Here is a 15,978-nt window from a genome sequence, read left to right as displayed (position 1 = left end):
TGGGTGAGATGAAAATAAAGTGGATCTCTTGGGCAGGGGCCTGTATGTCTTGAGAAACTGGACACTTACTTATTATACTCTCCTTTTCCTCTGTGGAAGAAATAATGGGCTCTTGTTACTGAGCTGTGCCACTTTTGGGGGTTGGTGATGCAGGTAAAGTGAAACTGTTTATACCCTTTCCAATGAATCTATTCTTAGATTTCTTTACTCCTCTGGTGTGCTGAAGTTTTACTGTCAACTCCTGAACTCCCACAAGGTACTCTTGCCCATGGATGGTTGTCAAAATTGATACTTATGTGGGAAACACCTACAGAAAATTCCTATTCTGCCATTTTGGTGCTATAACCCAAAATTACATCTTTATATAATACCATCAACACAAGTTTATAATTGAGATTATATTTTAAATCAAATAGGAAAAGACAAATGTTACAAACAAAATAAATTTATACTTTGTTTTAAACTTACACATGTAGTTACTTATACTGGTTCTCTTTATTTCTTCTCGTGGATTTGATTTACTCTCCAGTGCCTTTCTATTTCAGACCGAAGGAGTTCCTTTAGCATTTCTATTAGGACAAGTCTTATAGAGAACATTTCTCTGAGATTTTGTTTAGGAATGTCTTCATTTCTTCTTTTTGAACAATAGTTTTGTTGGATCTAGAATGATTGGTTGAAGGTTTTTATTTCATCACTTTGGTTATGTACATTGCCTTTTTAGCCTGCATGGTTTACAGTGAGAAGTCAATTGTCAGACTTATTGAGGATGGTGTGTATGTTATGAATAATTTTTTTCTTACTATCTTCAAGAATTCTCTCCTTATGTTTGTCTTTTGACACGCTGACTATGATGTGTATAGGTGTTGGTCTCTTTGAGATTATCTTAATTGGATTTTATTGGTCATCTCGGGTATATAAATTAATGTTTTTCTTAAAATTTGGGAAGTTTTCTTTCCTTCTCCTTTTTTCATCCTTCTAGGGCTCCAGTTTATGTATCCATTGGTATGAGAGATGCTGTTCTACAGTTCTTTGTTGCTCAGTTTTCTTCATTTTTTCCCACCTTTGTTGCTCAGACTGGATAATCTCAGTTGACATATCTTCAAGTTCACTGATTCTTTCTTCTGCCTGCTCAAATCTGCGAATAGAGGCCCTCTTGTTTCAATTGTCTAATTTTTTTGCTTTATATTTTTTCATGTTGTCTTTTCTTATAATTTCTATCTCTTTATTGGTAGTCTATATTTGGTAAGACACTATTTTTATACCTTTCTTTAACCCTTTTGACATGTTTTTCTTAGTTCTGTGTACGTATTTTTAATAGCTGGTTCAATGTCTGTGTCTAGTAAGACCAACATCTGGTCTTCCTCGAGGATAGTTTCACTGACTTCATCTTATCCTCTTTGTGCCATATTTTTCTATTTCTTTGCATGTCTCGTAATTTTTTGTTGAACACTAGACATATTATGTATAATGTGGCAACTCTTTAAATCATATTCTCCCCTTTCCCAGAGTTTATTTTTGTTACTGCTTTTTTTTTTTTTTAGATATGATTTTCCTGGACTAATTCTGTAAAGTTTATATGCCCTGTAGTATGTGGATACTGAAGTCTCTGCTCAGTTAGGTTAGTGCACAGATAATGACTAGAAAGAGATTTCCTTTAATGCTTCTAACTAACATGCCTCTCACCCTTTACTAAGGTGCTGTGTGTGTGTGTGTGTGTGTGTGTGTGTGTGTTATGGTTCCCATTCAGCACTTAGGTAGTTCACAACTCTTCCTTAGCTTGCCCAGAGCATAAAAGGAAAGCCAGAGGTAAACAATTACATGCATGTGGCTTTTTTTTTTTTTTTTTTTGAGACAGAGCCTTGCTCTGTCGCCCAGGCTGGAGTGCAGTGGCACAATCTTGGCTCACTGCAACCTCCGCCTCCCGGGTTCAAGCGATTCTCCTGTCTCAGCCTCCTGAGTAGCTAGGATTACAGATGCACGCCACCACGCCTGGCTAATTTTTGTGTTTTTAGTAGAGACCATGTTGGTCAGGCTGGCCTCAAACTCCTGACCTCATGATCCGCACGCCTCGGCCTCCCAAAGTGCTGGGATTACAGGTGTGAGCCACTGCACCCAGCCTGCATGTAGCTTTCTAGATAAACAGGAATGTATCAAAGCTTTTTGAAGCATCCTGTAGATATCTCATTCCCAAGATTTTAGTTTTCAGTTTTTGATCAGCTTCTTGTTTATCCCAACTGTTACCAAGACTTCAGGCAGTTGTGATAGTCAACAATTGCCATGGATTCTTTTTGACCAATACCTTGAAATTGAGATTTCCTTACTGAGTGAGCTCTGAGTCAGTCCAAATGAATATAAATCCTATAGATTGGGCTTTAGAGGTCAAATAGTGATAATTCTATGGGGATGGAACTTTTTGGGAAATTTCCAAACCTTTCTTCTCCAGTGGTTGCTATCCTGCTAATTTTTAAGACTATCTCAGCACTAGGGAGAAAAGCATGGGAAGGGGTCATATTAAAATGCCACAAAGCTGGCTGTTCTTACTGATTCAGCCATTTTTCTTGAATTAATGTTCTCTGGAATTTTGTAAGCCTTTGGTTAATTTCCAAAGTTTTGGAAAATTAATTTCAACTATTTCTATCAAGGCTGTTATTGGTTTTATGGAGGAGTAGATTTTTGGAGTTTCTTACTCTGACTTTCCAGAAGTGATTTTCCTATATTGGTTGATCTTTACATATAAAACCAACCTTAAATTCTTTGGGTAACTCTCACTTGGTCATAAAGTATTTCTACATTTCATTTGCCAAAATTTTGATTAGATTTCTTTGCATTTATGTTCCTAAGGAATAATGTATATTCTTCTTTTTAAATTTCTGTGTCTCTTTTTCTTACCTGGGTATTGCTGTCCAAATGGAATAAGTTGGGAAATATTCCCTTCTTTTAAATGTTCTGGAATCTTGTAGAGGATTGGTATTTTTTTTTTCATTTCATATGAAGCTATAGGTACCTGAAGTTTTCTCTGTTGGAAGGCTTTTAACTACAAATTCAATTTACTTGATACAGGGCTATTCAGGTTATTTACTTGTTCACTGAGTTTTTGTAGTTCGTGTCTTTCAAGGAATTTTTCCATTTCATTTAAGTTATTGAAAAATGTTGGCATACATTTTTTTTTTTTTACATAGGGTCTTACTTTGTCACCCAGGCTGGAGGGCAGTGGTACAAACATGGCTCACTGCAGCCTCAACCTCCTGGGCTCAAGTGATCCTCTCGCCTCAGCCTCCCAAGTGACTGGGACTACAAGTGTGCAACACCACACCCAGCTAATTTTTGTACTTTTTGTGTAGACAAGGTTTCAACATGTTGCCCAGGCTGGTCTCGAATGCCTGAGCTCTAGCAATCCTCCCACCTCGGCCTGCCAAAGTGCTGGGATTACAGGGGTAAGCCACCATGCCTGGCTGACATGCCCCTTTTAAATAATTTTTCCTTATTATCATTTTAGTATTCATAGAATCTGTAATGATTTGCCCTCCTACATTTTCAAATATTGGTATTTGTGTTTTGACTTTTTTTCTTAAATTGGTCTGGTTACAAGTTTATCAATATCTTCTCACTAGGCTATTTTTAAATTTTCTCAATTTTTCTCTGTGTTTTGTTGTTTTATATTTCATTGATTTCTGCTCTTATCTTTATTAGTGCCTTTATTTTACTTAAGTCTGGGTTAATTTGTTCTTTTCTAAGTTTCTTAAGGTAAAATACAAATTTACTGATTTAAAACCTTTTTTCTTTTCTAATATAGGCATTTCAGTGCTATAAATTATTCCCTATATCCTGTTTTGTCAGTATCCCATAAAGTTTTAGATTCTATATTTTTATTTTTATTCAGTTCAAAAGACTTTTCAATTTTCCTTTCTTTGTATCTTTTTTAACCAATAAATAGGTCAGAAATGCTAATTTAAATTTCCAAACATTTAGGAGATGTTCAAGAGATATTCCTCTTATTTCTAATTCAATATCATTGTGGAATTAAATTAACATGGTTTACATGAATTTAATTCTTTAAATGTATTAAGACTTATTTTATGGCCCTCCCATCAGTGAAGATTTTTAAAGGAATAGGGCTCTGCTTATTTTTATTACCTGACATGCTGTTACTTGTTATAGCCATTCTATCTGCCAAAAACATGCAGAAAAAAAGCACACAAATCAATTGGAAAAAAATACATAAATATTAACTATAATGAGACCCCACAATTTGGTCCCATTGTAGTTGTGTAATGTTCAAGTTTCCTATATTCTCTTAAAACTTTCCCAACATTATTGACACTAATAATTCACTTTATAAACACTGATCCTTTAAAAAAATATTCTAGATGTTTCTATATTCAATTTTTTACTCAAGCACTGTACACAATCAACAACAAATACTTCAAAATAAATGAAACACCAGACCCCTCCCTTAATGTAAAACCCTAAGGTGAAGTCTGTGTAAGAAAGCTATTATGATAGTGCCATTTTCTGAGAGAAAAGAAAGGCATGTACAAACGGGCTATGTGAGATAATTCAGGAGGTCATCATATTGAACCAATTCTAAAAGTCCTCTCTTTCTATCAAGGAACATTCAGCTAGACTAGTTGAAATCGGAAAACAATCTTTCAGAATCCTGAGATAACTGTACTCATCATGATCTTGGTAAGGCAGCTCCTGACAAATTAGCACTTCTATAACTGGGTTACTTTCCAATAGAGTTGTTATTTGCATTAAGAATTCAGTATACACTTCATCTTTACATTATTGAAGCTGGCAATATGTCAACCTTATAAACTTCAGCAGAGTCTCTTCTCCTGAAGGGGATAGCACAGTTTGGGAGATGGCACTTTTGACATATATAAAAATTAGAATGGAGTAAGTAATGCTGCATGAATCAATTTTCAATATTTATCACTTTGATTATTGGAGCAAAAAGGGATCAACACTAAAACAACACCTACTATAAACCTGCTTTCAACTTTGTCTCTCTTTACTCTCCTAAGCAATTTTTATCCATATCTGAAAAATAATATTACTGCCAAATGCTCATCTATGGATTGCATTACTACATACAATCCTATATTTTGGCTCTATCAAGGCTTCCCTGCCATGTGTGTTTTTCCATTTTTCTCTTAGATGTGTTTATCCAAACCAAGGGCATCATTAACATAAGCTTACACTTCAATCTCTATCTCATCATGCCCACTTTGCTGCAGTTTGTTAATCTAATTGTAATTTTCAGGAAGCAAGTAAGTAAATAATGGATTTACCACACATATAGGCTAGCCAAGAAAAATGACATTGGATTTGTCTTCACACAAACTGTATACTTTGAAAGTACTGACATAAGATAATCATAAAATATTGTGTACACAGGGATTTGAGCCTGCTATGTCTTTGGGGAATGCTTGATCTGTGGGCTCATTCCAGAACTGGGGGAGCCATGTTTTCAGCATGATTCTAACCATAGACAGAGTGCATTGGCAACTCGATGTTCTTGCTTCCCTGTCAGGTACACACACACACACACACACACACACACACACACACACACACACAGACACACACAACCTGGGCTCTCATCTAAATAAGCCATACAACGTTTATAGGGTGGTTGGTTCAAAATAAAAGCATGTATTTCAGTACGTATTGGACCTTTCAATGAGATAATAATGTCCATGTTTTATAGCCCTTTCAGCACACTTCTATAAAGCTATATAAACATTATACAAGATAAAATTCTTTGTGTTCTGTATAACTGATTGACTACTTCAACCTGATACCTTCTCTTATGCTTTTACGTATCTCTTATTTGTTCATTCTCAAGAATACATTGCCAGCACTAAGGACAAAGATATGGCTTTTAAAAATACCAAATATGAATCTGTTCAAATTATCTGGAAGGAAACACACATAATACCAAAATTTTAAAAATTCCTGTTACAATGTTAAAATTGAGAAGAGTATTTTAGGGAATTGTCCTGATAAATTTCTCTAACTTTATAGTGTGGATGGTATCCTGGTCAATTTCTTCATGTTAACAGGACTTTATCAATCTAATCAATTTTGTCCTTTTACTGTCATCTTTGCATTGCCTATCACAAGTTATTAATTTATTAAGTATTAATTTATAAATATATACATAATTTTTTTTTTTGAGACGGAGTCTCGCACTGTCTCCCAGGCTGGAGGGCAGTGGCGCGATCTCGGCTCACTGCAAGCTCCGCCTACCAGGTTCACGCCATTCTCCTGCCTCAGCCTCCCGAGTAGCTGGGACTACAGGCGCCCGCCACCACGCCCGGCTAATTTTTTGTATTTTTAGTAGAGATGGGGTTTCACCGTGTTAGCCAGGATGGTCTCGATCTCCTGACCTCGTGATCCACCCGCCTCGGCCTCCCAAAGTGTTGGGATTACAGGTGTGAGCCACTGCGCCTGGCCTCATAATTATTATAAATAAAACTGAAACCTGTATAGTTTACCCAGGCAATGGCTCTTTCAAAACTTCTGAATTTTAGTCTTCAAATTTCTTTTGCAATTAGGAATATTTAAGTGATTGGAAATAAAAGACTATCCTGGTATGACTGTCAGTGATAAATGCTATAGTTATGGCATATGTTTTGTAAAAGGGCTGCCAATTTTCACTGTACTAACTATAACCTATTTTAACCTATTTTAATAATATTAAACATATTTATCACTTAAGAATCTATATTAAATAATAAAATATATTTTATGTTTAAATAATAAAATATATTTTATGTTGTATAAATATATACATAAATATATATCTGTTGTATAAATATAGATGTTGTATAAATTATATCTATGTTGTGTGTATATATACAATGTAGATAACTTTACCTTGACATTCTAATACATTACTGAAATAATGGTAACCTGAATATTTCATGATTTGACTATAACTCATTAAAGAAATCACATGGACCTAATTTTCAAGCATTACTCATTCTGGGAATGCTCTACAGAAACAGAGGCATGAGTGCATAAAAACTGGCATATTCCGATTATAAATGTATGGTATCTTGCAGTAGCAAAATGTTGATAACCATTATTCTGAAAACAAGAAATGGCTAAGGAAAATGTGGTGTCCTTCACATTCACTGAGGACACTGGCACATCTATAGTTTTTGACATAGAGACCTCAAGACCTATAGGACCTCAGGAGATTGTACAACATATATTACTACCAAAATGTCAAATCTAAAGCTCATTTACAGTAAAGTTAATTGGTTATGATCAATACATCTTATATAGAAAGATAAATGGATTGATAGATACTTGTATTAGCATAGAAAGTTTTTCCCTAATATAGGGCAGATGATTAAACATATTTCCTCTGGAAAGCATGGGGAAAAGGTTAAAAATACATCTGTCATAAATAATTTTATATTCTTCTATATTGTTAAGCTTTCTTAAAATGAAGTGATTACTCTTGGCAGTAATTTATGGCTGAAACTCTTTGATCTCAGACTAAAAAAGGGAAAATCAGGGAAGCAGGATTAAAAGTTGAAACACATTTTAGCTTTAGTATGTCGAGAACTCAAAAGGTGAAAAGCACTTAAATTTATCAGTTGTGTATTGACTAAGTAATCTCCAAGGAAATCCTTAAGCAAGGAGTTCACTGTTCTGACTTTTGGCTTTATACTTTACCCAACTTCATCAATATTTCCCCAAATTCTAAACTGTACAATGCATGTGGGCCTCTATTAAGATCTATGAGAAACTTCTTTGCATGTGGTGTAGAAATAATCACACTAAATCTTAACAACTATATTTGCTTGTATATTCAATTATGTAGCACATAGAATAGAAAAGCATGAAGGTATCACATTAATTCCCTCTCTGCAAAACAAGAGACATGTGCCAGTTCAAGTGATCTGTCAAAGAAAGTATAAAGAATTGAGTACCAAAATACATGAATATGTGGGGACAATACTGCAATCCTTAAGACTTGAGATTGTTCAGCATGTTTTTATAACAGAGAAAAAAGTATAAGAGAATTTAAGAATATACATAGAAAAAATATAAATGTGTTAAAATAAAAATACTTGAGTAACTACTCATGACATGATTTGCTAAAAAGCCCTGTGCTAAAGAGAGAACCCACTTGATCTATTATGAGGGCATCAATCAACAAGCACCATGTAATACACAATCTACTTGAGACTTTTTTTATGTATTAACCAATATTTTGACTAGTTCGATAAGTTTTTTTTACTTTCTATCGAAGAATAATATACATGTAGAAAAGTGCATACACTAAAATTGTAAAGCTCAATGTATTTGCATGATGCAATCACAGCAAGTACTCAACACACAGATCAAGAAATAAAAATTACATGCATTCTAGAAACCAGCCAGGTGTCTTATATCTATGATTATCTCAGACATGCCATCAAGAGAAGAAAATTTCCTATATAACTTACCTTGTTGCAACAATGAGGAAAAGACTAATTCAAGTCAATATTTAATAATTAAATTAGAAGCAGAAATATAATGTAGTATGACCACAAAGATATTATGAACCATGGAGTCTCTATTCTGAAACCCCAATAATTAAACAGATGGGGAAAATCTGTTAATATTTTGGCACACCTGGATTTCACTACAATACATTTTGATCCAATATGAAATTGCCAAAAATTCTCTTAAATTCTACATTTTTCCATAAAAGCAAAAGAGAGTTAAAATTAAAAGAGAAATGATAAGGATTCAATAGTGTAGGTGACATGGTGAGGGTCTCAATGAGGAAAAGGACATATCATGAAAATGTCCTCCAATAAGCTTCTGAAAAGATGTACAAAACGACCTAAAGACCTAGCAAAGAGCACATGACATATGAATTTCAAAAGATAATGGCTTAGCTACTCACCCCTGTTCTCTGAAGTGGAGGATCAGATTCCAGGCCTTCTATCTCAGCAAAACATGAAAGAAAAAAAAAGCAAAAATAATCTTAGAAAATACTCCACAGTAAAAATAACAAAGCAATAAACTTGGTTCCACTGTCATTATTTAATAGAGGCATGCCATATTTCCTTCTTTCAGCACAACACTAATGAGATTTTCAGACATATCACAGTTGCTTGACCCTTAATTCAATCTTCTAAAGTTTTTCATTTGTTACTTAAGAAATATTTCCTATATGTAAGTATCTATCTACAATTAAAGCAAGTCTTGGGTCACTAGGCACACTAAAGTGCACACTGACTCATAAGACAGGATGCCACTGCCCTCTTCGAAGAGATAGAAAAGGCACGCTCACAGGGGTACTATGTTGTCACTGAGGGATCCCCAAATAGAGCCAGGCTCTGAGAGTCTTATTTGTCCTATTGGAGGGCCGCACATCTGGACCTCAGATTGACATCTGGAATGAGTCCCTCAGCATCCTCAGACAATTATTCTCATCATCGATCCAAACAAGCACCCTCCCAACAAATAAGCGTTTCCACAGCCAGGCTTATTTTGTGCATGGTTATCTAATGCATCATCAGTGAGAACAGTAAATGTACAGTAGACATTTGTTTAGTATCTGAATAATGGAACTCTCATATACATAGCATGAAAAAACATATGACTGAATTGTTCTAATAAAATTAGATTAAAATCTGGCCGGGTGCAGTGGCTCAAGCCTGTAATCCTAGCACTCTGAGAGGCCAAGGCGGGTGGATCACGAGGTCAGGAGTTCAAGACCAGCCTGGCCAAGATGGTGAAACCCTGTCACTACTGAAAATACAAAAATTAGTCGGGCGTGGTGGCAGGCACCTGTAATCCCAGCTACTTGGCAGGCTGAGGCAGGAGAATTGCTTGAACCCAGGATGGGGAGGTTGCAGTGAGCCAAAATCACGCCACTGCACTCCAGCCTGGGCAACAGAGTGAGACTATGTCTCAAAAAAAAAAAATCTATTGGGGGACTTTATAAAAACTCTTTAATTAACTAAAAGTTTAAGGAGTAAGTGGGGTAACAGAATAATATATGGTATGATTACAGTACTAATATGTATAGAAACATCTATGTTATGAATGTGCCAGATAAAGATGTAAAAAAACAATATTTAGAACATGTGAATTTCACTACAAGATTATTTTCACCCAACATGAACAGTGAAAAAAGGAAATATATCAATGATTCTCCACAGTTGTTTAGGTCATCTCAAAAAGAGATTTAAACAAAGAGAAGAAACAATAATAAGGAATCCTTGAACAAGGTAGGGACACCCATGGGGAAATATATCTACCAAAAGAATAATCTCCTTTAAGCCTCTGAAATAATGAACTCACAGTCTTTGACATTCTGACATCATTGCCCACAGAACAAAGAATTTCAAAAGTACCAAAGTGGCTGCTCACCTCTTTTCCCTGAAGTTTCCTTGAAGTTGTTTCAGCTTTTAACCTGCAGCAAAATATCACATAGAAAATAAATCAGATCAGAGAATGCTCCAAATTAATAAAAAATAAAGCACAAGATTGGTTCCATTATAATTTCTTATCATACAGGCATCTCAGCCCTCTACTCCTTGCTACAAACGTCAGCATTGCTTGATCTCATCACCTTTGTCATTTCATTTATAATCTGTTTCCTCCTTGAATTCTTTACTCTGAAAATAGCCAATTTCCTCTCTACCAAGCTATCCAAGTGACACAGTAGTTGTATCTTGAATGGGAAATGCTAAAGTTGTGGTCTACCAATAAAGATTTTATGAAAATACACTGTGCTGTGAAAAATGAAAGACACGTGATAGTGCTATTGTGAGATAATTGAGGAGTTCACCAGTTAGGCCTGCTCCGAATGTGTTATTTATCCTGTTGCAATAGAACAGATGGCCATTCATTCAGCCACACCTCAGCATCTCAGATACTTGTACTTATCCTTGATCCAGACAAGTCTACTACCAATAAGTAAACATTCCTCATACCACACTGATGCTCCTAACATTGTATCCCCTGCATTCAGCTTATAGCAGAAAACAGCACAGGTGGATGTCTGACTTGACTTTAATGAAACTGGCTTTCACAACAGCTCCAGAAGCTTCTCAGAACCCTTTGGTCTAAGCAAAATGTGAAGTGATATTGCAGTGGGATGGCTGTCAATGCTGATATATCTACTGAATATGATAGAAATAAAAAGTCAGGAGTTAACTATGAACTTGGATTATATCATTTAAAAGATTATTAAAGTATGTTAGGATCTATTTGACAGCAGCATACAACATGATATTCCTTCCATCTGACAGGTGTATATTCCCTATCCAGGGTAGAAGACTAGCATACAAATGTCACTAATATTGTGACAAAGTAGAAATAAGACAACTAAACACAGGAGGAGGAAAAAAAAAAAAAGAGGAAAACCGAAAGCACTTTGCATGAGAATAGGGGAGTGCTGAAGAACATCCCCCAAACTGATAAATCAGAAGTAAAAGATTAACTAGGAAAACACAGAACTAACAGAATTAAGAGAGGTACAAAAGTAAACACTCCAACAAAAACAAAAACTCTCCTAAGTATGAATAAATAGGCAAGCAAAGACTACACCGTGACAAAAGAGCGTAGCAAATATAAAGAAAATACAAACACAATAAATATCAGTCATAGCTACACACACACACACACACACACACACACACACGTGAGTGGACTCCACACACCTACTAGAAGAAAAATATTTTCAGTGGGCTCACAAAATAAAACATAATATGTTTTCTATGAGAGATGAATCTAAAACAAATGGATTCTAAAAGACTGAAAATAAAGGGATGGGCGAAAGTATATCAGGCACATGAAAACAAAAAGAGATAGGAGTAATCTTTTTTTTTTTCATGCCAATCGCATGCAAGCGTAGTAATTCTTATATCACACAATGTATTCAAGTCCCACCATGTTAATCAAGGCAAAGAAGGACACTTTTTTTATGCTAAAAGATATAATACACATGAAGATTTGACCCTTATGGAGACTTATATACCAAATAACATAATAACCACCTTTATGAATAAAAAACTGCATGAGATGTATGAGATGTAAGGAGACAAGACATAGATGATCCCATAATAGAAAACTATAATACACCATTATCAGAAAAAGACAGATCAAGTGGGCAAAAATAGCAACATAAAAATAAGGTAGATTTTATGGCTACATATTAAACTTGACAGATAATAGAAGATCTGTGTTGTTCTTAAGTGCCCATGGCATAGTCACAAAAAACTGATTATATATTAGGTTGGAAAGAAAAATTAGTAACTCAAGAAATATTAAAAACTGCACTATCTGATCACAATGCAAAAACATAGACTTTACTAACAATAAGATAAAGGCGCTTTCACCAAGAAATTTTAAAAATATCCTATTAACTCCTGAGTAAAAGGAAAAATATAAACAGAAAATACATATGTTTAAATATGTAAATACATATTTTGTATGTAAATATGTTTTTCTATGCAAATATATATTTACATATTATTTTAAAATATACAACATATGAGAATCTGTAATATGCATTTAAAGGCAGTTCTAGAGGAAAATTCATTGCACTAAATGTTTTTATTTTAAAAAATGAAAAAGATGAATGAAACAATTCAATTTTCATCTTAAAACACTAAAAAAGAACAAAAATAAAAGAAAGTACAAGAAAGAAAGGAATAAGGATCAAAGCAGAAATTAATGAAGATAATATTTTAAAAACCATAGATGTAATTAATAATTGAGAAGCCTGTGGTTTTTAAAAAATATTAACTACATAGGCACTCTACTAGCTAACTTTATCAAAAAAGGGAGAAAATACATATATACAAAATAATGCTTTATGAGCACTTGAATATAATGTGCATTCTGCTATTGTTGGGTGTTGTGTTCTACATATGACAGTGGAGTCAAGTTGGTTAATAGTGTTCTTACATCCACCGTTACTGATTATCTTATCCATGTTCAATCACATACTAAGAAAGGAGCATTGAAATTTCAAACTATAATTGGGAATGGTCAAATTTTTCATTTCACTTCAAAAGCCTGTCTTGGAAACGTAACCCTCAATGCAACAGTGTTTAATAAAGCAACATTTAAAAGGTGATTAGGCGGCCGGGCGCGGTGGCTCACGCCTGTGATCCCAGGGCTTTGGGAGGCCAAGGCGGGCGGATCGCGAGGTCAGGAGAATGAGACCATCCTGGCTAACACGGTGAAACCCCGTCTCTACTAAAAATACAAAAAATTAGCCGGCCGCCGTGGCGGGCGCCTATAGTCCCAGCTACTCGGGAGGCTGAGGCAGGAGAATGGCGTGAACCCGGGAGGCGGAGCCTGCAGTGAGCCGAGATAGCACCACTGCACTCTCGCCTGGGCGAAAGAGCGAGACTCCGTCTCAAAAAAAAAAAAAAAAGGTGATTAGGCTGTGAGAGCTCTGCCCTCATCAATGGATTAATGCTGTTATTTCAGGGGTGGGTTCCTATAAAAGAAGATATTTGTCCCATCCATACCCTCTCTTTGCCCTTCTACCATAGGATGACAGAGTGAGAAGGCCCTTATCATATGCCAGCCCCTTGATCTTTCCAGCCTCCAGAAATGTGAGCCAATAAGTTTCCACTCATTACAAATACCCAGTCTGCAGTATTCTGTTACATCAGAGCAAAATGGACTGACACAGAAAACTGGTAACATAAATGCAGTATCTTTTGTATCTAGATATCCAGTTGTCCTAGCAACATTTGTTGAAAAAACTCTTCTTTCCCATCACAGAGAGGACAATGTCCAGATAACATGGCTTCTTGGGGTGCAGGAAACATAAGGTTCAAAAGCCGGTGCAGGAATCCAGGATGCTAATGCTCCTATTTCAATATGAGGGAAGTCTAGGTCTCACGCTGTGTGAATCAAAAGCATTGTTCAAATCTTGTTGACTAAAAGTAATTGGTCAAGTAAACAGCAATATCCATAGTGATCTGGGAACACACCATTCAGCAGAACTCAAGAATGGGCAGGTCAACTTGGTATTTTTCAGGATTTGAGTCTCTGATATATATGGGTGAAATGAGATAGAACACTTCGCCGCTGATTTTAAAGATTTTAGAAAGGTTAGAAATCTTTTGTAAACCAGCACAATGATCAAATACATCATAGGAAAAAAAGCTGGAGTTTATTTGGGGCAAAGGGATATTAAACCTGGAGATTTTATCCAGCCTGGGAATCTCTGCCTTTTAATTTACATATTTACTGTATTCACATGTAATTTTATTATTTAGTTGAGTTTATTATGTCATTCTTCTTCTCCTCTGTGTCTCATGTGTTTTTGTTCCTCTATTCCTCTTTACTTCTTTTTCATTAAGTAATTATTTTATAATGTAGCATTTAAACTTCCTTAATAATTTTTTTCACTATATGTTTTGAATTTTTTCAGTGGTTGCTCTAGGGTTTACTGCATATATCTTAACTCACCCAAATAAGTTTCTAATTTACACTAGCTTAATTTCAGTCTTATACAGAAATGTTACACCTATATAGCTCTATTCCCTTTTTGCCATCTTTTGTGGTATTATTATACATATTACATTTATTGATGCTATAAGCCAAGAAAGACATTATAATAAATATTAATCTACCATCTGTAGTCATTTCCTTAGTCTTGTATTGCTTTGCATCCACCTATCTTCTTTGGCAAATATATTACACTTTTATATGTTATAGACCCCAAAATACATTATATACATATTATTTTATAGAATTTATTTTAAAATCACTTCAGAGAAAAATTACATTTCTACTGTCTTTTATATTTATATAATTACCTTTACAAGCATTTGCTTTGTAGTTGTTGATTTGAATAACTACCTAGGCTCACTTGCTTTCAGCTTGAATAACTTCTTTAAGTATTTAGAGAACTCTTTTAAGGGGGTTTTGAGAGCAGTAGATTCTCCAACTTTTTTTTTTTTAATTGAGGAAGTCTTTATTTTGCCTTCATTTTTGAAAGACAGCTTTGCCAGGTACAGAATTCTTAGGTGACAGGTTCTTTTTTCTTTGAGCATTTTTAATATGTTATGCCTTTGCTTCTGGCCTCCATTGCTTCTGCTGAAGTCAGCTGTTAATCTTCCTGGGGTTCCCTTGTAAGTAACAAATCATTTTTCTCACACTGCTTTCAAGACTTTCTTCTTGTTTTTGACTTTCAGATATCTTACTGTGATGTTTCCATTTGTCAATCTTTGCATTTATTCATTGGAATTCATTGAGCTTCCTGGATATGTCAGTTATTGTTTTCCACAAATATGGGAGGTTTCAGCCATTATTCCTTCAAATATTTTTTTCTGATCCTTTGTATCTCCCCTGCCTGTCTGGTACTCCCATATGTGTATGCTGGTATGCTTAATGATGTTCCACATTCTCTGAGACTCTCTTTGTTTCTTTATTCTTTATGCTTTCTGTTCTTTTGAACATAATCTCTATTGTTCTATCTTCAAGTTTACTTCTTGTTTCTTCTCCCAGTTCAAATCTACTATTGAGCCTTTCTAATAAATTTTTAAATTTTAGTTATTGTACTTTTCAACTCCAGAATTTTCATTTGGTTCTTTTTAATAATTTCTATCTTTTTATTGGTATTCACTATTTTGTGTGACATTGTCATCATACCTTCACTTTTTTTTTTTTGAGACAGAATCTCACTTGTCACCCATGCTGGAGTGCAATGGTGTGATCTCAGCTCACTGCAGCCTCTGCCTCCTGGGTTCAAGTGATTCTTGTGCCTCAGCCTCCTGAGTAGCTGAGACTACAAGCGTGAGCAACCATGCCCAGCTAATTTTTCTATTTTTAGTAGAGACAGGGTCTTGCCACGTTGGCCAGGCTGGTCTGGAACTCCAGCCAGTGAATAGTGCTGCTATGAACATTCATGTGTATGTATTCATTTGAACATTTGTATTCAATTCTTTTGAGTGTGTACTTAGGAGCAGAATTGTTGGGTTACAT

General features: G+C 35.1%; 1 long non-coding RNA gene and 1 other non-coding gene across 2 annotated transcripts in view; both read right to left on the bottom strand.

Annotated features, from left to right (window-relative positions):
• Positions 1-15,978, bottom strand: part of SNHG14 (small nucleolar RNA host gene 14) — a 595,855-nt gene that overhangs the window by 131,661 nt on the left and 448,216 nt on the right. The window contains exons 145-146 of the long non-coding RNA NR_146177.1: positions 10,393-10,435; positions 8,918-8,955 (exon numbers count right to left, since the gene is read on the bottom strand). This is a non-coding gene — a long non-coding RNA (small nucleolar RNA host gene 14). The remainder of the gene's footprint in view (positions 1-8,917; positions 8,956-10,392; positions 10,436-15,978) is intronic.
• On the bottom strand, positions 9,393-9,459 carry SNORD109B (small nucleolar RNA, C/D box 109B). Its single transcript, NR_001289.1, has one exon. It is a non-coding gene; the product is annotated as a small nucleolar RNA, C/D box 109B (small nucleolar RNA).

Source organism: Homo sapiens, chromosome 15 (genome assembly GCF_000001405.40).
Source record: "Homo sapiens chromosome 15, GRCh38.p14 Primary Assembly".
NCBI lineage: Eukaryota > Metazoa > Chordata > Mammalia > Primates > Hominidae > Homo > Homo sapiens.
This window is presented reverse-complemented; position numbering and strand designations above follow the sequence as displayed.